The sequence below is a fragment of the Homo sapiens genome, chromosome 5 (genome assembly GCF_000001405.40).
Source record: "Homo sapiens chromosome 5, GRCh38.p14 Primary Assembly".
Classification (NCBI taxonomy): domain Eukaryota; kingdom Metazoa; phylum Chordata; class Mammalia; order Primates; family Hominidae; genus Homo; species Homo sapiens.
The window spans coordinates 36,280,164-36,303,447 of record NC_000005.10 but is presented as its reverse complement, the minus strand read 5'-3'; the positions used below and the strand labels follow the sequence as shown (position 1 = coordinate 36,303,447).

Sequence of the window (23,284 nt, the reverse complement as noted above, 5' to 3'; positions counted from 1 at the left end):
AGTTTATGAGACAATCAGGAAAATAAGAACACTGTGTGGATGCTTAATTACATCAAATAATCATATTTAATTGTTATGTGCGTGACTATCTTATTATGGTTATCTATTTTTAAATCCTCACATTTTAGAAATATACACTGAAATATTTATTAATGCAATGATGTCTGGATGCTTCAACTCCAGTGGTGTAATAAGGGGGAGAACAGCTATAATGAAACACATAGTTTTAAGACACGATTGTCTATGAGTTGATAATATTGAAGCCAAGTGATGAGTATGCAGGGCTTATTGTGCTATTCTCTCCTATTCATGTATTTTTAAATTTTTTCATCATAAAACATTTTAAATGTATTTCTCAAAAGGGCTGGCTTACAGTTTTGTAGGTTATTTAACTTACCTGTATAATAATATGCTTATTAGTGAGGTACATAACTTGATAGAATAACAATAACTTTACATATTCAGGAAAAATCACCTTGTCTCTCCACCATGGCTTTTGTGGAAGATGAGATGAATAGCAGACATTTAAAGTAGAAACTATGACTCTCCAATAACAAGACTCTCTTTCAAAGTAGCACAACACTTCTGTCATCTGTTACACTGTGATTAGCCTAAAACTGCAGTAGATAGACTACTGAAACAATTAAAGCATTCAAGAATTATAAAAGATCAATCACCTACTTCATAAAAATTTTCATAAACCAGACTATACTTGGGGAATTGTTAATTGCCTCAAAGTAAAATGAGGGCAGCCACCCAGATCTGGTTAGGAGGTAAATTCATTACAGTGTCAAGTTTAACACCAATTTCCAAATGCACATAAGAAGCTGCAGAGTCCAGACTTCGAGGCTAAACAGCTCTGCCTTTCTCCTTAGTCCTGCCCACTACCTTCTTTCTGAATCTGCGAAGAGCTGTGACTCTTGAAGGGCAGGACCTACCAGCATTCATTATGACTTCAGTTATGGCAAGCTCTCAAGTTAAATTAATGGTGTTTGGGGTTTATGTTTCCAAACAGTAAGGAAATAGCCAACGAGTAAAACTGGAAATTACTTTCTCCTATGACCTAGAAGTAGCAATAAGAACTCTAAGTGGGAAACAGAAATAGGACTCTGGAAAGATAATGTTTTGTGTGTTTATTTTTCTTCCAGAACTCCAAATAGTTGCCTTGGCAGGAAGGCTGCCCTCTAACTGCTCCCTTCCGAAGACTAGGAGGTGTTTACAGAAATTGAAAGTTCCAGCAGTACATTTCCATGAGCTCATTACCAGTTCCATTTATACCTTTTAGATTTCACATGCACAAATGAATGTCCTTGCAGTATAAACTCCTGCTTTCAGCTTGCATTTTAATTACAAACAAAGTAGCAGAAATCAGGTACTCAGTTACTGTAACATAAGGGCAGGGCATCTTTAGAATCTGTGCTTTGTTCACTATTATTCAAAGCAGCTCCAATGCCCGTCTTGCCTGCCTCTTTATGCTAATCATCCTAGCCCACTTTGCTCCTCCTCCTTCCAGAGTCCCTTAAGAACTGTACACTTTCAGCTGTCACAGAGGGTAACTCAGATCAGGCTTAGAAATCACTTGACTTAACTCAGCAGCACTTTTTCTTTTCTTTGTGTCTGTATTATTTTAGCAGCCTTCTCTAAATACTGGAGGCATTGGATTTCATGTCGCCAAAAGGAATTTAAAAATGACAAAAGTGTAATCTGTTAGAAATAGTTAATTTGTAGAATTTTACTCTATAAGGAGGTTTAGTTTCAATTTGTTTTGAAATGAAGGAATTAAGTTGTGTTTTTAACCAAATGAATTGGCATCTTTATATTTAGGAGAAGTAACATTGGTGATTATTTATTTCAAGAATCATGACTGGAAAAAGCTTGGAAGTTTAGTAGAGGAGTATATGTTGTACATGCAAAGACAAGATCTGCATGAATCTATGTATTTCTGGGTGTCTGGTGAAGGCCACTTTAGGTGACTGGCCAGAGAAGGAGGTGCCCTAGTGATCCTTGAGTCACAGCCATACTGCTAGGACCATGACTACCATACCAAGAAAAGGCAGCAGCCACCTGCCTGGCAGTTTGCACACCTGTAAACTGAAGCTGCAGGAGGACCGGCGACAGCAAGGTGAGTCCGTCCAGCTCATGAGTTGCATATTCTGTGACCTTCTGTGCATTTGCATTCCAGGAAGAATGGTGGGCTGGTGAAGGACCCGGGGAAGCTCTGACATAATAGTGATGCATAAGGGTGGGTTAACTTGGATTCACTATTGATTTTTAGAGGACTATGGAAGACTGTCAAGAATGCATATTCCTTGGAGCTGTCATTCTGAAACTTACATGCTTAAACTTCTAGCCACTGTGTTTTTTAGAGTATGCTAGATTTTGTCTAATTCAAAACACCCATCTGAGCAAGGCTGAGTCAGCTACAAGGGGGATTTCAGCTGAGAGTAGCTTTAAGTTAGCCTGGAGCTTTCTCTACCATAGTACCACTGGTGGGACACTTTTTTCACTTTGTTTAAGCCTAAGTTTGTCTGGATCTCTGGCTCATTCATTGTGGGAAAAATAAATATATTCTTGACTCTTTCCTTTTTATGGTCCAGGGACATCTGGAGACAGTCAGGGAAAAGTGTCACATTTCACTTGCTGGGCACTCATTCAAACTAAACTATCTACCTCCCAGCCATTTTCACCATCAGTCTTTTTAAATTTTCAAATCCACTCTCCAGCCAGCTGAGTTAGTGTCAGATGGTTGACATGAATAGACAAGATGATCCCTCCAATCCACCCTGTCAGGGACAGCAAATGACACTTGTGGGAAAGGCTGGGTCTCTCATGGATGACATCATCACTCCACAGAGGTTAAGGATTCACCAGACACTTCTAACTTCTCCTCAATAACCTAGGATAGATCTTTTTATGTGTAGGTCTAGGCAATGAGCTCTTTAATTATTTTTCTGTAGACGCAGTTTTAGATTTCAGTGGTGTGGAGAGTGTTGGCTAAAGGGCCAAAACCTCCCATTTCCAAGATGGAATCTGTGTGCTAACAGTCACATGAATGTGTCAGGCCACCTCTCTGCATCGGTTCCTGGAGCTGTATAACATGACTTCATGCTCTACAAGGCTTAGCATAGTGTCGGCAGAAAATACTTCATGGTAAATGAAAACAATGTGAACTTTTAGACCATGCTTTACTACTAGTGCTCAAATAAATTTTGAACCAAGTACCCTAGAATGTAAAGTCCTGGAATGTGTCAGGGTTAAGGCATAGCACTGTAAAATGCTCTTGCTTCTCTGTTAGTAAACAATTCTAGTTTATCAGAGGTTTTTGTTTTCTGTTGACTTTGTATGAAATGTTAAAGTGACTTCCCCCCACTTCAATTGCTAATATGATAATTTTAATAGAAAATTTGGTGGGGGTGAGCCTAAAGAAGTCACCTGTAACCCCACCACCCAAAGATAATTGCTATTAACATTTTAATGTATAAACTTCTAGACTTTTCTTCTATGCACTTGTATGGATTATTCCTTTGCTTGCTTTTTAAACAATATAGACTTGTTCTGGATACTTTTGTAAACAGTGTTTTGTAAACTGCTTTTTAATTTAATGACAGAGGATGAACAAATTTCCAGGTCATTAAATATTCTTCTACAACCTTATTTTTAACAGTTGCACACTGTTCCTTTATATGGATGTAGCAAAATTCCCTTAGGCAATTCTCTACTGTTAGATATATTATTTATTTCTAATATTTTAACTATTATAATTAACACTGGACTGCACCTAAACTAATGAATAGATCTTTGCACTGATATGGGATTATTTTCTTCGCATAAATTCTTAGAAGTGAAATTGTGGAGTCAAAGGATTATACATTCTTAAAAATTGTTTTTGGCCAAGTGACCCTCCTATCAGCAGTGTTGGGGTATGTTCTCAGTAATACTATTATTTTTTAAACTCCTTCTCAATTTTATAGGTGAAAAATAATACCCCACTATTGTTTTAAGCCAGGCTATCCTGAAGATCTCTCCTTTACTGGCTGTATTAATCAAAGTTCTCTAGAGGGACAGAACTAATAGGATATATACACACACACACACACACACACACACACACATATATGTATGTGTATATATATACAGATATACGTATGTGTATATATGTGTGTATATGTATATAAAGATGAGTTTATTAAGTATTAACTTACACAGTCACAAGGTCCCACAATAGGCTGTCTGCAAACTGAGGAGCAAGGAGAGCCAGTCTGACTCCCAAAACTGAAGAACTTGGAATCCAATGTTCAAGGACAAATAGCAAGAGAGAAAGATGTAGGCTGGGAGGCTAGGCCAGTCACCTTTTCACGTTTTTTTGCCTGCTTTGTATTTGCTGGCAGCTGATTAGATTGTGCCCACTAGATTAAGGGTGGATCTGCCTTCCCCAGCCCAGTGACTTAAATGCTAATCTCTTTTGGCAACGCCCTCACAGACACACCCAGGATCAATACTTTGTATCCTTCAATCCAATCAAGTTGACACTCAGCATGAACCATCACACTGGCAATATCCAGAGAAGCCTGGAAATAATCACTATGATGACATACTTCCCAAAATACCCACAAGACTGGTCTTCTTTCTCAGACTTAGCTTTTTGCCTAGAATGTTTTGAAAGCAAGCATATTCTTCCACACCCAAGTCTCAAAATATCTGCCCACATAAGCCACAATCCATAAAGTTGTGAAGCATGCTAATGCAGTCCAGACTGGCCATTGATTGCTGCAAGAAATATCATCTAGTGATTTGAGCTGGGTAGTATTTGCTGTGTTGCTAAATTGCATTCCAGTTACTGTCCTGGAGTTTTAAAGTATTCATTCAGAGCAGTGGCCCTGCTTTTTCCTCCAAGCTATTTTTGCACCTTGCTATTATGTGAAGTTCAGCAAAGGTCCCAGGAAGCAAAGCCATTTGTTTTAGAGAGTGAGGTCTGGCTTTATTCATGGAATCATCCTGGGTTCACGGCTTTGGCCTTTCCCCAGCCAGCCTAAAGTTCTGCCTCTATTATTTAGCATACAGACTATGATTAATTGACATTCGACACTTCTGTAGGCGTGACTAGCTTCAACACATACATATTTTCTTTTCCTTTTTTTTTTTTTTTTTAAGATGGAGTCTCACTCTGTCACCCAGGCTGGAGTGCAGTGGCATGATCTCGGCTCACTGCAACCTCTGCCTCCCGGGTTCAAGTGATTCTTCTGCCTCCGTCTCCTGAGTAGCTCGGACTACAGGCACACTCCACCATGCCTGGCTAATTTTTTTATTTTTAGTAGAGACGGGGGTTTCACCATATTGGTGAGGCTGGTCTCGAACTCCTGACCTCATGATCTTCCCACCTCGGCCTCCCAAAGTGCTGGGATTACAAGCATAAGCCACCGCACTGACCTCAACACATATATATTTTCTAACCCCCCATGCCATATGCTAAAATGCTTCGTGTCCTTCCACCTAGTCACTCACAGAAGTGTAATTTTGAAGTGATTACATAGATAAAAATCACTTATTCTTCAGCAGTTATCTGGGCAACAACAAGGTGCAAAGTGTTGTGCTAGATGCTGAGTATGCAAATTGAACTAAGACAACTAAGCCATGGTTTTCTGTCCACGTGGAGTTTACTATGACAACAAATGCTCTATCAGTCCAGAACACAAGTCCAGGAGGCTCATCTCCCAACTTGTTGCTATCTTCTAGCTTCTCCTGTGATATTTTTAATCCATTTATCTCTAATATTGATTCTATGAACACATTTGTAAACGTTAATTTACATGTCTATACAGCCTCAGCAAAGCTCATTACACATTACATGTACTAGGCAGACAACCTTCCTTATGTATTATGGTGCTTTAAAATTTACAAATGGTCTCATATACATTATTTCATTAATTTTCACAACAACCAAATGAAATAGTGTAGTCAAGCTTCTTCAGGGAAACAGAACCAATAGGATGTGTGTGTGTGCGTGTGTGTGTGTGTGTGTGTATACAGGTGACTCCTGAACAACACAAATTTGAACTGTTCAGATCCACTTATATGTGGATTTTCTTCCTTTGCCACCCTTGAGACAGCAAGATCAACCCTTCCTCTTCCTCCCCCTCCTCAGCCTACTCAAAATGAAGACAATGATGAAGACCTTAATGACAATCCACTTCCACTTAATAAACAGTAAATATATTTCTCTTCATTATGGTTTTCTTAATAACATTTTTCTCTAGCTTATTTTATCATAAGAATACAGTATATAACACATATAATATATAAAATATGTATTAATCGACTGTCTTATGTTATTGATAAGGATTCTGGTCACCTCTAGGCTATTAATAATTAAGTTTTGGGAGCAGCAAAAGTTATATGCAAAATTTTAACGAGAGAGAATAGAGAGAGAGAAGAGAGAGGGTGAGAGAGAGGGGGATTTATTTTAAGAAATTCACTCCCACAATTATGAAGGCTGGCAAGTCCAAACTGCAGTGTAGACTGACAGGCTGCAGACCCAAGTGAAGAGCTAATTCTGCAGTTGAGTCCATTCTTGGTTGCTCTGGGGTAGTCAGTCTTTTGTTCTATTCAGGCCTTTGACTGATTAGATGAGACTCACTCACTAATGAAGGGCAATCTGCTTGAGTCAAAGTCTACTAGTTTAAGTGTAAACCTCATTCAAAAACATCCTCACCGAAACATTCAGAATGTTGACAAAATATCTGGGTATCATGGAACAGCCAAGCTGACACATAAAACTAATAATCACGAGCAGGTATTGTTATCCTTATTTATAAAGATGTGGAAACCGTGAATCTTCAAGGTCAAGATGACTCTTCCAAGGTTACACAGTTATTAAGAGCTGCTTTCAATGTACTTTCTGCCACATACAGCTGTCTCGTAAAATCTATGATTTCTAGTATTACAATGTTTAATTTTTTTAAATTGATCTATACTAGAGAAACTTCTCCATGGATAACCAAGACATGTTGGAATTCCTCATGATTTTCTTTTTGTCTTCTGACACTTATTCTCTGAGTGTCGTACAATTCAATTCAATTCTGACACTACCCAGAATTAGTGAAGACCCACAAATGAAGGACTTAGTCCCATAAGACTGCCCCGTTTCAGATTCCAACAACAAATTTCAGGTGTCCCCAAGCAATCTGCACTTCTGCCAGGACAATTACAAATTAAAGACGTCCCACAACCCCTCAGATTTGATAATTCACTAGAACAACTCACAGAATTGAGGAAAGCTCTGTACTTTCAATTTCCATTTCATTATAAGGTATACAAATGGTCAGCCAGATGAAGAGGTACATGGGAGGAGGACTGGAAGGGTCATGAGCACAGGAGCCTCTGCTTCCACAGAGTCAGGGTGTGCCGCCCTCTTAGTATCAGGAAGCTCCCCTGAGCATGGTGTCCAGGGTTTTTAATGAGGTTTCATTATGTAGGCATGATTGATTAAATAATTGGCCATATGACTGAACTTAATCTCCAGTTCTTCTCTCCTCCTAGGAAGTTAGGGGAATGGGGTGGGTTTGAAATTTCCAATCTCTAATCACATGTTTGGGCTTTTTGATGTGACAGCCCCTTCCTTGGAACTATGTAAGGATCCCTTAGATAGTTCCATAATAAGCCTTCCTAATAGAGTCCACTAGGAAACAATAAATAAATAAGTTTAATGGCTGAAACTTCATTTTCCCACTTCACAAATATTAGGATGGCTACTATTTGAAAAAAAAAAAAAAAAAAACAGGATATAACAAATGTTGGTGAGAATGTGGAGAAATTGGAACCTCGTGCACTGTTGCAGGAGATAAAATGGTGGAGCTGCTGTGAAAAGTACTATGGCAATGTATTAGTCTGTTCTCATGCTGCTATAAAGAACTCCCTGAGGCTGGGTAATTTATAAAGGAAAGAGGTTTAATTGACACACAGTTCCACAGGGCTGGGGAGGCCTTAGGAAACTTATGATCATGGCAGAAGTGGGGAAGCAAACGTATCCTTCTTCACATGGTGGCAGGAAGGAGAAGTGACGAGCAAAGACGGAAAAGCCCCTTATAAAACCATCAGATCTCATGAGAACTCACTATCATGAGAACAGCATGGGGGTAACAGCCCCCATGATTCAGTTACCTCCCACTGGGTCCCTCCCATGACATGTGGGGATTATGGGAACTACAATTCAAGATGAGATATGGGTGGGGACTCAGCAAAACCATATCACGCAGTTCCTCAAAAAATTAACAAATAGAATTACTATGTTACCCTGCAATTTTACTTCTGGATAAAATCCTAAGAGAAGTAAAAGCAGGGATTCAAACAGATACTTGTGCACCTATGCTCATGGTAGTATTATTCACAATAGCCAAAAGATGGAAACAAACAAATCTCCACTGACAAACGAATGGATCAACAAAATATGGTGTGTATATATATGTGTGTGTATATATATGTATACATACATATATAATATGTAGTGTACATATGTATATATGCATATATTATATATGTATATATACACACATATATGTATATATAGTGTATATATACACTATATATGTATGAGTATATATATGTTTATATGTCATATATATGTATATATAAACATACATACATATATACACTATATATATACACTATACATACACACTATATATATACACACACTATACATATATATATATATAAAACCAAATAATTTTCAGCCTTAAAAATGAAGGAAATTCTGACACATGCTAAAACATGGATGAACCTGAGGACATTAAGTTAAATGAAATGAAGGCAGAAATAAAAATGTTCTTTGAAACCAACGAGAACAAAGGCACAACATACAAGAATCTCTGGGACTCATTCAAAGCAGTGTGTAGAGAGAAATTTATAGCACTAAATGCCCACAAGAGAAAGCAGGAAAGATCCAAAATTGATACCCTAACATCATAATTAAAAGAACTAGAAAAGCAAGAGCAAACACATTCAAAAGCTAGCAGAGGGCAAGAAATAACTAAAATCAGAGCAGAACTGAAGGAAATAGAGACACAAAAAACCCTTCAAAAAATTAATGAATCCAGGAGCTGGTTTTTTGAAAGGATCAACAAAATTGATACACCGCTAGCAAGACTAATAAAGAAAAAAAGAGAGAAGAATCAAATAGACACAATAAAAAATGATAAAGGGGATATCACCACCGATCCCACAGAAATACAAACCACCATCAGAGAATACTACAAACACCTCTACGCAAATAAACTAGAAAATCTAGAAGAAATGGATAAATTCCTCGATACATACACTCTCCCAAGACTAAACCAGGAAGAAGTTGAATCTCTGAATAGACCAATAACAGGATCTGAAATTGTGGCAATAATCAATAGCTTACCAACCAAAAAGAGTCCAGGAAGAGATGGATTTACAGCCGAATTCTATCAGAGGTACAAGGAGGAACTGGTACCATTCCTTCTGAAACTATTCCAATCAATAGAAAAAGAGGGAATCCTCCATAACTCATTCTATGAGGCCAGCATCATCCTGATACCAAAGCCGGGCAGAGACACAACCAAAAAAGAGAATTTTAGACCAATATCCTCGATGAACATTGATGCAAAAATCCTCAATAAAATACTGGCAAACCGAATCCAGCAGCATATCAAAAAGCTTATCCACCATGATCAAGTGGGCTTCATCCCTGGGATGCAAGGCTGGTTCAATATATGCAAATCAATAAATGTAATCCAGCATATAAACAGAACCAACGACAAAAACCACATGATTATCTCAATGGATGCAGAAAAGGCCTTTGACAAAATTCAACAACCTTCATGCTAAAAACTCTCAATAAATTAGGTATTGATGGGACGTATTTCAAAATAACAAGAGCTATCTATGACAAACCCACAGCCAATATCATACTGAATGGGCAAAAACTGGAAGCATTCCCTTTGAAGACTGGCACAAGACAGGGATGACCTCTCTCACCACTCCTATTCAACATAGTGTTGGAAGTTCTGACCAGGGCAATTAGGCAGGAGAAGGAAATAAAGGGTATTCAATTAGGAAAAGAGGAAGTCAAATTGTCCCTGTTTGCAGATGACATGATTGTTTATCTAGAAAACCCCATTGTCTCAGCCCAAAATCTCCTTAAGCTGATAAGCAACTTCAGCAAAGTCTCAGGATACAAAATCAATGTACAAAAATCACAAGCATTCTTATACACCAACAACAGACAAACAGAGAGCCAAATCATGAGTGAACTCCCATTCACAATTGCTTCAAAGAGAATAAAATACCTAGGAATCCAACTTACAAGGGATGTGAAGGACCTCTTCAAGGAGAACTACAAACCACTGCTCAAGGAAATAAAAGAGGATACAAACAAATGGAAGAACATTCCATGCTCATGGGTAGGAAGAATCAATATCATGAAAATGGCCATACTGCCCAAGGAAATTTACAGATTCAATGCCATCCCCATCAAGCTACCAACGACTTTCTTCACAGAATTGGAAAAAACTACTTTAAAGTTCATATGGAACCAAAAAAGAGCCCGCATCGCCAAGTCAATCCTAAGCCAAAGGAATGAAGCTGCAGGCATCACGCTACCTGACTTCAAACTATCCTACAAGGCTACAGTAACCAAAACAGCATGGTACTGGTACCAAAACAGAGATATAGATCAATGGAACAGAACAGAGCCCTCAGAAATAACACTGCATATCTACAACTATCTGATCTTTGACAAACCTGAGAAAAACAAGCAATGGGGAAAGGATTCCCTATTTAATAAATGGTGCTGGGAAAACTGGCTAGCCATATGTAGAAAGCTGAAACTGGGTCCCTTCCTTACACCTTATACAAAAATCAATTCAAGATGGATTAAAGACTTAAATGTTAGACCTAAAACCATAAAAACCCTAGGAGAAAACCTAGACATTACCATTCAGGAGATAGGCATGGGCAAGGACTTCATGTCTAAAACACCAAAAGCAATGGCAACAAAAGCCAAAATTGACAAATGGGATCTAATTAAACTCAAGAGCTTCTGCACAGCAAAAGAAACTACCATCAGAGTGAACAGGCAACCTACAAAATGGGAGAAAATTTTCGCAGCCTACTCATCTGACAAAGGGCTAATATCCAGAATCTACAATGAACTCAAACAAATTTACAAGAAAAAAACAAACAACCCCATCAAAAAGTGGGTGAAGGACATGAACAGACACTTCTCAAAAGAAGACATTTATGCAGCCAAAAAATACGTGAAAAAATGCTCACCATCACTGGCCATCAGAGAATGCAAATCAAAACCACAATGAGATATCATCTCACACCAGTTAGAATGGCAATCATTCAAAAGTCAGGAAACAACAGGTGCTGGAGAGGATGTGGAGAAATAGGAACACTTTTACACTGTTGGTGGGACTGTAAACTAGTTCAACCATTGTGGAAGTCAGTGTGGCGATTCCTCAGGGATCTAGAACTAGAAATACCATTTGACCCAGCCATCCCATTACTGGGTATATACCCAAAGGACTATAAATCATGCTGCTATAAAGACACATGCACACGTATGTTTATTGCGGCATTATTCACAGTAGCAAAGACTTGGAACCAACCCAAATGTCCAACAATGATAGACTGGAGGTAAGAAAATGTGGCACATATACACCATGGAATACTATGCAGCCATAAAAAATGATGAGTTCATGTCCTTTGTAGGGACATGGATGAAATTGGAAATTATCATTCTCAGTAAACTATCACAAGAACAAAAAACCAAACACCACATATTCTCACTCATAGGTGGGAATTGAACAAGGAAAACACATGGACACAGGAAGGGGAACATCACACTCTGGGGACTGTTGTGGGGTGGGGGCAGAGGGGAGGGATAGCATTGGAAGATATACCTAATGCTAGATGACGAGTTAGTGGGTGCAGCGCACCAGCATGGCATATGTATACATATGTAACTAACCTGCACATTGTGCACATGTACCCTAAAACTTAAAGTATAATAATAATAATAAAAATAAATAAGATACAGCTAAAACTGAAAAAAAATAAAAATAAAAAAATAAAAAATTAAAAAATAAAAAAGTTAAATGAAATAAGCCAGTCACAAAAAGATAAATACTGTCTGATTCCACTTACATGAGCAATTTAGAGAGACAGAAAGTAGAATGGCGCTTCTAGGGTTTTGGGGCAGAAAGGATTGAGGATATGTTGTTTAATGGTACAGGGTTTCAGTTTTGCAAGATGAAAAGAGTTCTGGAGATTGGTTATACAAACATGTGAATACAGTTCACACTACTGAGCTGTACATTTACAAATGGTTAAAATGATACATTTTATGGTAAGTATATTTTACCACTACAAAAAAGCCGGGCCAGGCATGGTGGCTCACGCCTGTAATCCCAGCACTTTGGGAGGCTGAGGCAGGTGGATCATGAGGTCAGGAGATCGAGACCATCCTGGCCAACATGGTGAAACCCTGTCTCTACTAAAAATACAAAAAAAAAAAAAAAAAAATTAGCCAGGCATGGTGGCATGTGCCTGTAGTCCCAGCTACTCAGGAGGCTGAGGCAGGAGAATCGCTTGAACCCGGGAGGCAGAGGTTGCAGTGAGCCGAGATCGCGCCACTGCACTCCAGTCTGGGCAACAGAGTGAGACTCCATCTCAAAAAAAAAAAAAAAAAAAAAAAGCCATGGTTGTCCAAGGCCATCCCTAATTACACTTTTGAAGTTGGACTTAACACACACAAAATAAAAAAAAAAATCCTTTATTTTTCCATTCCTAAAAACAAAGTCATGAGAAAGTAGTCTGCTCCTCCATGATTCCCCAAAGCTACTTCTTTCAAAATATTAATAAAATTAATAAACCCCTACCTAGATTAATCAATAAAAAGAGATATGGCCGGGTGCGGTGGCTCACACCTGTAATCTCAGCATTTTGGGAGACCGAGGTGGGCAGATCACTTGAGGCCAGGAGTTCAAGACCAGCCTGGCCAACATGGTGAAACCCCATCTCTACTAAAAATACAAAAATTAGCCAGGTGTGGTGGCATGTGCCTGTGATCCCAGCTATTCAGGAGGCTGAGGCATGAGAATTGCTTGAACTGGGAGGTAAATGTTGTAGTGAGTCAAGACTGTGTCACTGCACTCCAGCCTGTGCAATGGAGTGAGGCTCTAAGAAAAAAAAAAAAAGGTGAGACAGAGAGAGAGAAACCACCAGTATGAGGAATGATGTAGAGGGTGTCATTACAGATATTAAAAGGATTGTAAGGGAGTGTTATGAATACCTTTGTGCCAGAAAGATGTAGAGGAACATAAAATTCAACACCAACTGATATAAAAACTCAAGGGATTTGGAATAGAGCAACTTCCTCAACCTGATGAAAAACATTTACAAGAAACCCAGCAGCTAACACTACTCGATGTAGAAGATTGCACATTTTCCTCTTAAGATTAGGAAAAATAAACAGAGATGTCCATTATCATCACTTCTATTCAACAGTGTACTGGAGATCCTAGCCAGTGTATTACGTTAAGAAAAAGAAATAAAAGGCTTACATATTGGAAATAAAGAAGTAAAACTATCTTTTTTTTTTTTGCAGATGATTGATGGTATTTGTAGAAAAATCCTGAGAAATCTATCAAAAAATGCTAGAACTAATAAATGCATTTACTAAGGTATCAGGCTACAAAGTCAACATACAAAAAATATCGTATTTCTATATATTAGCTGACAACAAGTGGAAATTAAAAATATTAGAGTACTCATTTAATAGCATAAAAAGGAAATACGGATTAATTTAACAAAATACGTGCAAGACTTGTACACTTAAACATTGCAGTGTGAAGCTGAAGAAGACTGAATTATAAGAAGAGATACATCCCAAATTCATGAATTGGAATGCTCAATATTGTTAAGATGTCAATCGTCCTCAACTTGACCTATAGAGTCAAGGCCATCTCAATAAAAATTACAGCAGATTTTTTGTTTTGAAATTGACAAACTGATTTTAAAAGGATAAGGAAATATTAAGGACCTAGAATAACTAAATCAATCTTGAAAAAGAGTACAAAGTTGACAACCTACATTTTTGGATTTCAGGCTATAATAAATCAAGATGATATCAGTGTAAGGATAGAAAAATCTATTATTGGAACAGAATATAAAGTCCAGAAATTGATCTATTAGTACATTGTCAGTTGGTTTTTGACAAAGTTATCAAGATAACTCAAAGGGAGAACGGATAGCTTTTCTGTAAGAATCCTGGAACAAATGGGGAAAAATATTTCTGAAAATGAACCACAATACCTACCTCACACAAAAATTAGTTTGAGATAGAATATAACTGAAACACAAAAGTTAGATATACAAAGCTTCTAGAAGAAATGTAGGAAAATATCTTCACCATCAAAAAGGCAGCTTTTTAGACTGACAAAAAAGCACTGACCATAAAATATAGATAAGTTAGACTATCAATATTAAACATATCTGTTCTTCAAAAGATACCACCAAGAAAAGACTGGGAGAAAAATGTCAAATATATATTTGAAAAAGAACTTTCAATCAGAATATGTTAAAAACTCTTACAGCTCATGATAAACAATTTGATTTAAAAATGGGCAAAAGATCTGGCAAACACTTCAAAAAGAAAGTATATAAATGGCCAAAAGCACATCAAAAGATGTTCAACGTTATCAGTTATCAGGGAAATCCAAAATAAAACCACCATGAAATGTCACTTTACATCCACTAGAATGGCTAAAATTTTAAATGGTGATAACATGATGCTTGGAGAAGATGTGAAACAACCAGAACTCACTCGCTGCTGGAAAGTGGTAAAAACCACTCTGGAAAACAGTTTGGCAGTTTCTTATATAATTAAACCCAAAAGTACCCTGTTATCCAACAGTTCCGTATTTAGGTATTTTTCCAAGAGAAATAAAAATATATCCACGAAAGCCTTGCACAAGAATGCTCGTAGCAGATTTTATTCATATGAGCCCCAACATGTGAACAACCCAAAACTGTTCATAAGCAAGTAAACTGGTAAGCAAATTGCGGTATATTAACACACTGGAATACTACTCAGTAGTAAAAAGAAATGAATTACTGATACATGTAACCATGTAGGTGAATCTCAGAAATGTTTTATTGAGTGAAAATAAGCCAGACACAAAAGAGTACATATTTCTACAGGCAAAACTAGGCCATGGTGATAGACATCAGAACAGTTGTTGCCCAGGGAGGAGAACTGGAACAGGACACAAGGAACACACTGGGGCAATAAAAATGTTTTATATCTTGATAGGGTTTTGGTTACTTGTGCACACACATTTGTCAAAAATTCATCTGTGCATTTTATTCTATGTAATTTAGGCCTCATTTTCTAAAATGTGAGACTGCCTAGGAGGCCTCAGACTCCAAATTTTCCTCTAGGCCTCTACTAGTAATTCCACAGAATAGTGAAGAGACTGAAATATCTCAATGAATTAGAATAACTTGCCCAAGAACATAACGTATCCTACTGGCAGAGTACCCACAGCTCAGGAAATATCACACCTTCAAGAGAAAATGTTAGTATAACTTTAGTCAGCTTTAATAATAGTGGTATTTTATTGTTGCTTTTATTCCTAAAGCTTAGAACTTCTCTATTAATAACATAGTCACCAAAAATTAGCTAATCAATGAGATTAGCACAGGATAAATTGAGGTATAATAAAAAGAACTATCTAACACCTAGGGCGAGACACTAACTCTTTTTGTCAAGCATCTGTCTTTTCATTATTGAACATCCTTTAGAATCAACGATTTATCTTAATTTTCTTTAGAATTCAGTGTTGTATTGTTTTAAAGCCACAACTGACTCATGAGTTATCGTTTAATAAACACCTAAAATGGACTACTTCATGAATATTTTTTCACCCCATCTCTACTTCATCTTGTTTGCATTTACATAGCACTTCATTTATTTTATTTAACACATACTTAGTGGCTGCCATTTATCAGGCACTGTTCTCGACTCTAGTGAACAAAGCAAACAAAAAATCCTGCCCACAAGGAGCTTATTTTCTCAGAGGCAGAAAGGCAAACAATAAAGAAGATAAATGAGCAAAATATATAGTGCAAACAGGGGTCCATGGCCTGTTAGGAACTGGGTCACACAGCAGGAGGTGAGCAGGGCGTGAGTGAGCATTACCACCTGAGCTCCGCCTCCTGTCAGATCAATGCACATTAGAGTCTCACTGGAGCGTGAACCCTATTGTGAACTGTGCATGTGAAGGATCTAGGTTGCGTGCTCTTTATGAGAATCTAATGTCTGATGATCTGAGGCGGGGCAGTTTCATCCCCAGAACATCCCCACCCACCTTCCCACCATCTGTGGAAAAATTGTCTTCCAGTCCCATGGGCCAAAAGGTTGGGGCTCAATGGTGTAAATGATAATAATGAAGATAGGAATTATGGAAAAAAAATTAAGCAGGCAGCATAGAGTGTCATAATGGAGATCTGATTTAAGCAGGGTGCTCAGGGAAGACCTCATTAAGAAGGTGAATTTGAGTAAAGACCTGTAAGAGGTGAGGGAGTGGGTCATGCCACATCTAGGGGAAGAGCAGTCCAGGTAGAATAAAGAGTAAGTACAAAGACTGAGTTTTAGAAATCACACTTGGTCTACATTTGTTCTGACGTGGTTATTGATTCATTTCAGTTAGAGCAATATTTTTATCACAGTTATCTAGGTTAGTGATTCTCAAACTTTAGCATCACCTGCAGAATCACCTGGATAGCTTATTAAAACACAATTGCTGGGTCCCATTCTGACTTTCTGATTCAGAAATTCTGAGGGGAATGGAGGGAAGGAGTCAAGAATTTTCATTTCTAACAAGTTCTCAGAGAAATGCCATCATTGCTGCAGTTGCAGAGATCACACTTTAAGAATGACTGTGTTGGAGGGACAAAAGGATGCCAGTATGATCAAGTTAGCTTAAGTGAGTGTTAGGAAGTGATTGAGAGATAAGGGAGAGGGGAGAGGAAAGAGCAGTTACATGGTCATGTCTGCCCTGGTAAGTCCTTTGGCTTTGACTGTGAGAGAGATGGGAAATATTACATGCCAATTTGAGTTAATTTGATCATTTACACCTTTCAGGTTCTTTTGGGGAGCTAGAAATAACCAACAAAAAGTTAGGGATGCAGTAAAAGTAAGCTACTCCTCTCAACCTCAATACCATGTTAAAATAAAGCAAATCTTAGGGTAAATTCTTCCAAATGGACAGATATTTACTAAACAAACATTAATTAGCAAACAAGCATAAAACACTGCATACAATGTCCCAAACTCTTTGTTCCTTAAGGTTTGCTCAGACAAAACGACATTCCCCAGGCAGTATTCTGTGTAGTCAGCCAGTAACCACGAATTATCCTGCTCATTAATGGACACTGGGACCTTTCAGTATAAAGCTTTGGGCACTGTACTTAAAAGTACAGGGTACAGGTCTTGCCAGATTCTTCTGTCCAGGTTGTGTAAGACTAGCAAGTGTCCTTAAAATATTTCAGGCAATCCAAGGTCTTGAATGCCATTAATTTCACCAATGAAAATTCATTTCTGATGTTGATGATGCTAAATCTCAAAGGCTCGGATATTGATTGAGAAGGAAAGATGACAACCTTGTAATAAGAAGCCTCTGAATGTGGGTTTCCTGGTGCTGGTAACCATACCTGAGGTACAAATTCCCCACTAGGTCAATAGATACAACTTTAGATGGTATAATTTAATCTAACATTCACATACTAATTATGCTGTCTTTGCTGGTGTCTTCTAAAGTCAATTACAACTGTGATAACCAAAAGCAGCACTTCTCTACATTTTTTAACAATAAGGCATATGTTAGAAATGATACAGCACTTTGAGGTAAATTCAGGAGGCTGATCCTGTGGGATGAAGGGCCAAGATCCTGGCACACATGTAGCCTGTACACTAGTGTGCTCCACACATGAAGTAAGATCTGGCAAGAGCAAACATTTGAACCCTTATTGATATTCTTTGTTATGGAAGGCCATCTACTGAGGATGCTCTTGACACCTTAGATGATAAGTTCCACTAGGAGACCTATAAAATCACTTTCAAAACTGAGATTCTGAGATTTGCCAAGAATTATTCTTTCGTGGTAATGCTGCCTCAGTTGTGTTGTACAAGTTATTTGAGACAGAAAAATGGATTCATACCCTAGACCATACCACAGTGCTAACATGTCACTTACAAACAAATCACATTTATGAAGTGTTTGTTATATACCAGACACTGTTTTTCAGTACTTTTGATGTATTAGCTCATTTCTTTGTGAAAGCCCCAGGAGGTCTCAGAGCTGGGGTCTTCAGCCAAGCTTGTAATCCAAGATCCGGACTCCGGAGACTGCTTTCACTCATGCTCACTGCCTCTTAAGCTGGTACAAAATAGATGTTCAGCTAAGTACCTGAGAAGGACTTGGATGATGGCTGGCCCTTAAACTCAATTTGTGGTTCAGTTGTTTAGAATAGGTTGCTATTAAATCACTGGTTAATTTCTATATGAATTACCAACTACATCCAACTGTCTCCCAAAAGGGTATATTTGACTGGAAAAGAAACAGTTGCAAAAATACAGATGTATCAGTGCACACCTAGCAGCTCAGAGCAAGTGGCTTACTGATTAGGCTAGCAGTTTTTGCTTAACTTTAAATAACTGCCTAGCCCCTATGTCCCACACTGCATGAAATGAGAAAGATAGCAATGTACCATTTTTGGAACAGGACTGATACAGCCTTGGAGAGCAGTTTGGGTTTTTGACAAAATAAAGAGGCAGTATGCAAAACCTCAAATTAAAAAGGGCTAAATAATAGTCACTATTATAATTCACTTTGTATTTAAACTAGGACTTTATTTCACGTGGTGGCTCAACTATTACACTAAATCATTAACTTGACTTAAAATTTTAATTAACATTTAGGGAAGGTAAGTTTCACACCTGAGTTGCTTTTTAATGAAGTCTGTTGGCAAATCTAGCAAAATATTCAAAAGTCAGGATTTAAAATGCAGTAAATACCTGTATTAATTAAAAAGCTGCATTCCTTCTACCCAATGATCACATACCTCACACCCTGTGGATGGCAATAAACAAACAAAAGGTCATAGGAATAAGATCTAGACTTTTAACAAGGGATGCTGGTGTGAAGGTATCTTTTGATACTAACTAAAGCCACCTCAAAAGAACATAAAATGTATGTCTGTGAGTTGATTCAGAAGGAGAACAGGGTTTAAAATGGGAAGTGAGCTACTTAGGAGGCTGAGGCAGGAGAATCACTTGAATCCGGGAGGTGGAGGTTGTGGTGAGCCAAGATCGTGCCATTGCACTCCAGCCTGGGCAACAAGAGTGAAACTCCATCTCAAAAAAAAAAAAGGAAGTGAGGAGAGGGAACCCAACCTATATACTCAAACAGGAGAGATAAAGAAGAGATTTTTAAGTATGACCTGTATCGTGGCAGGATGGGCTGAAGCTGAAATAACTCAATGCTAATGAGATTCAAATTTATTTCCCTCATCAGATTCAGAGAAACTTTCAAACCTGCAGCAACTACAGCTCAATAACATGGTCATCTCTCTGGAGTGGGGCTCCATGTAGATGTAAAAACCATATTTCAGATTTTTATAATGACCTGTTTAAGGAATTGTTCTAATAAAAGGAAGGATATTGCTATTGAAAGAGTAAGAGTAAAGAGGAAAGTCTGTGAATGCTGAAAATGGATTATTTTGGTCTACGATTGGCTGTATTCAACTTTACTTGTCTGCAGAGACATAAAGTGGCAGATAAAGATGTGTGTGTGTGTGTGTGTGTGTGTGTGTGTGTGTATTTTTATATACAGAGCATAGGCAAGACCCATACCAGTACTACAGATTATGAGGTTCTGTTTATTTAACAAGACAAACTTTTGTTATAAGAAGCTTCATTCTCAAATATGGATTAAAATTTTGGTGTTTTTTTTTTTTTGTAACATTTTTCATTTTGAAAACTGAGTAAGGTTAAATTAACGTGCTGGGTGTGGTGGCTCATGCCTGTAATCCCGGCACTTTGGGAGGCTGAGGTGGGTGGATCACCTGAGGTCAAGAGTTTGAGACCAGCCTGGACAACATGTTGAAACCCCATCTCTACTAAAAATACAAAAATTAGCTGGGCATGGTGGCACATGCCTGTAATCCCAGCTACTCAGGAGGCTGAGGCACGAGAATTACTTGAACTCAGGAGGCAGAGGTTGTAGTGAGCCAACTGAGCTAGCCAGGCATCCTCAGAAATAGATAAATTTACAGGACTGTTTTCAGTTTTCCTGGGAATTTTTCAAGTCATATAAATTTTAAAAGTAAAAACTTTTCTCTGCTAATTTTTATTAGCTTGGTGAACAAAACGTTTCTGGTAAGTGTACAAATTACTACCTGGCCTTTACTTCCTCCAAACTAGTTCTGATATGGTGCAATAATATATATCACTGCAGAACCATCTGCCACAGGCATCATGTTATTCCTGCTACATTTCTATGCCTGAGGGCCAGGAGGGCAGTTCAGCCCTCAAACACAAGGAGAAGAGGAATGATGGGTCTCCTGGGGGTTCCCTAGAGGAGAATGGGGACCAGGCCCCTCCTGGGCTAGTCGGGCTTTGGATGGCAGCTCAGCTCCTTCTTCCTGAATAGACTGCCAAAGACTTGTTCTCCGTGGAATAACATCCACTTATTCCTGTGGAAATGGAGAAACAAGGAGCTTTTTCTTCTATGTGCTCAAAGGCTCAAGACAAAGAGGAATTAGTTTAAAGAAATGAGTTTTAGAATTGGAAGAAGTTGGAATCAAGCTTCTCCATCCGGCCTGTGTCCTTGGAATCCATGAAGAAATTTAAAAATAGTATGTTTCTTCACCAAAGGGGAAGGATTTAAATTTATCTGGACTCAATATATGAAGCTATATTTCAGCTGTATTAACTTATTAGTAGTCTTTTTGAAGAGTGATTTAGTTCTTACTGATATGATATTTTGTGTCAAAAGTACCTCTTCAATGTTAGCAGTAATGAAAAATCTACTAATTATTATTTAAAATTAACTTTGAGAAGACACCATTTTAGACTTGCGTATGTGCCTGCTCAATGCATATTTCCAACATCCCATGAAACCTAGACTTTGTTCCCCACTCCCTCAGCGAAGCAGAGACCCATTTTTAACATATGGGAGCATTTTCACACTGCGAGTTATTCTGAGTGAAAAATATGTGATTTACAAATGCTGTCAAATTAAATATGTATTTCCAAATGGTATCAGGTTGACCAAGCACATCCTAGGACACATTCTGCAACTTTCTGAGCCCTTGGGCCTAAATAAGGGAGTAGTGTAGAGAAAGAGCAAACAGTTCTTTCTGTCATTATCAATCCAGAAGTCCCACATTTGCTCCTAATAAGCATATTCAAGTAAACATTGCAAGTAAATTTTGTCACAAAAGAACACAATAGTCTTATTTATAGACAAAGTAACGCCTTCAAATTATGCAGAAATGGGTGTGCCCTGTCAAAAGTAACACATTCTTCTTAGTTATTGCTGCCAGTGTCTGAAAAGAAATATTTACATGGAGATTTTACATTGCTAGGATCACTATGCCACTTGCCTGCAGACATTCTTGATCAAATCTCTTTAGAGTCAGAATGTGTACAAATAATGGCAAGAATAACAGAAGCATCTTGCAGTGTTTTATAGACGGCAAAACTGAAGTGCAGGAAGACTCACACAATATAGGATCATGTCCCAACCAGGTTTATACAGAACCATGAAAGGCAGGAAAGAGCCATCATAGCCCAGGCATGTCACCTTTCAGAAAAGAAGAAGCTGTAAAATAGTCGTTTAACTCACAATGGAAGCCAGGAAGAAAGCTAACTTAGAGAAAAAAGATTTGGAGTCAGCTCTCATGCATTATAGTCTCAGATATCTAAGAATTATCTGTGTGACCTGAGACAGGTCCCGTAATTTTAGAGCCTTAGTTCTCTCATGAGCAAAAGGGTTCAATAACTAACTTCTTGAGGATCATATCATGTAATAAGAGCTGCAGCTTACTGAGCATTTCTTATGAGGCAGGCACTGTGCTGAGTGTTTTACATACATGACCTTGCTGAATCGTTACAACTCTATAAGGTAGGTCTAATGATCCCCATTTCACAGGTGAGAAAACCTGGACTCTAGGGTTCAAATGACATGCCCCAGCTCACACAGTAACTTGAGGAGATAAAATTTTAATCCAGTCTGTTTTTCTCCAAAGCTCAGGTTTTTAAAACCATACCTCTAGTTCCTAGCAGTCATTCTTTTATTTACCAAATATTAATATATGTAAATATGTCTTATAAAGTATGGCACAAATGTAAATTTTTATATTATGCCAGGGCATAAAGAAGCATCCTTGGTGATCAGCCAGATCTAACTTTTCATGGTACTTCTTAAAGTCATATTAAGTTAAACATTTCAAAAGGCAAAAGAGTAAAGACTAGTCATGATGGGTATATGCATTTCATATGGTAGCTATTATCTTTAAGAAGAAAGAAAAAATAATAATTCAAAGAGTAATGTCCTGACACTAAAACAATAGTAAAATATAATGGAGCATGCTGTGATAGTCATTGAAAAAGATCTATTAAAAAACAAAGAAAGTCCTTATAAAACCATTCTAGTCCCTGATCACCCCCAAATAAAAAGCTAGCACTGCACGTGATGATCATATCTTTGGGGATCAATTACAAAACATTTTCAAAATACATATATAAATTCAGTTTCTTCAGTCACCACTGTATTTGATTGATAGGGTGATCTGCCTGATGTTCTATGTGAAACGATTTAACAAAAATTCTGTTTTTAGGACTCTGTGAACTCCATAAAGATGTTAGTGAAGTAAATAACTTTAAAAAATGAGAAGAATTTTTCTTCAATTGAATTATTGCTGCTGAAGATCCCCAGTTTCTTAAATGCAAATGAAATTAAGTCACTGGCTATGGCCCACTATCACATGTGGCTGGATTATAAATGAAGCAGCACAGTTTGGAGTTACGTTTGGGGTGAGAAGTGCCTTCAACCCAAGAGTTTTCAAGGGTTTGGTCCTGCTTTCAGAAGGGTAGCAGGTCTGTGTTTGATACAACCTATGAGTCTTCTTGCCTCTTGTTCACATTAGATATTTTCTTATCTCTATGTCTTGGTTTTTCAAAATTGTTCAG

At 37.9% G+C, this 23,284-nt stretch overlaps 1 protein-coding gene and 1 long non-coding RNA gene across 14 annotated transcripts in view; one reads left to right on the top strand and one right to left on the bottom strand.

The window, feature by feature from the left end:
• LOC124900962 (uncharacterized) overlaps window positions 1-23,284 on the bottom strand; it is a 109,210-nt gene that overhangs the window by 47,664 nt on the left and 38,262 nt on the right. The window lies entirely within an intron of this gene.
• Window positions 1,546-23,284, top strand: part of RANBP3L (RAN binding protein 3 like) — a 54,990-nt gene continuing 33,251 nt past the window's right edge. For all 13 annotated transcript variants that reach the window (XM_006714455.5, NM_001323278.2, XM_006714453.5 and 10 more), the window contains exon 1: window positions 1,546-2,122. In XM_006714455.5, coding sequence (XP_006714518.1) covers window positions 2,032-2,122 — 91 coding nt within the window. In that variant the 5' untranslated portion in view covers window positions 1,546-2,031. The remainder of the gene's footprint in view (window positions 2,123-23,284) is intronic.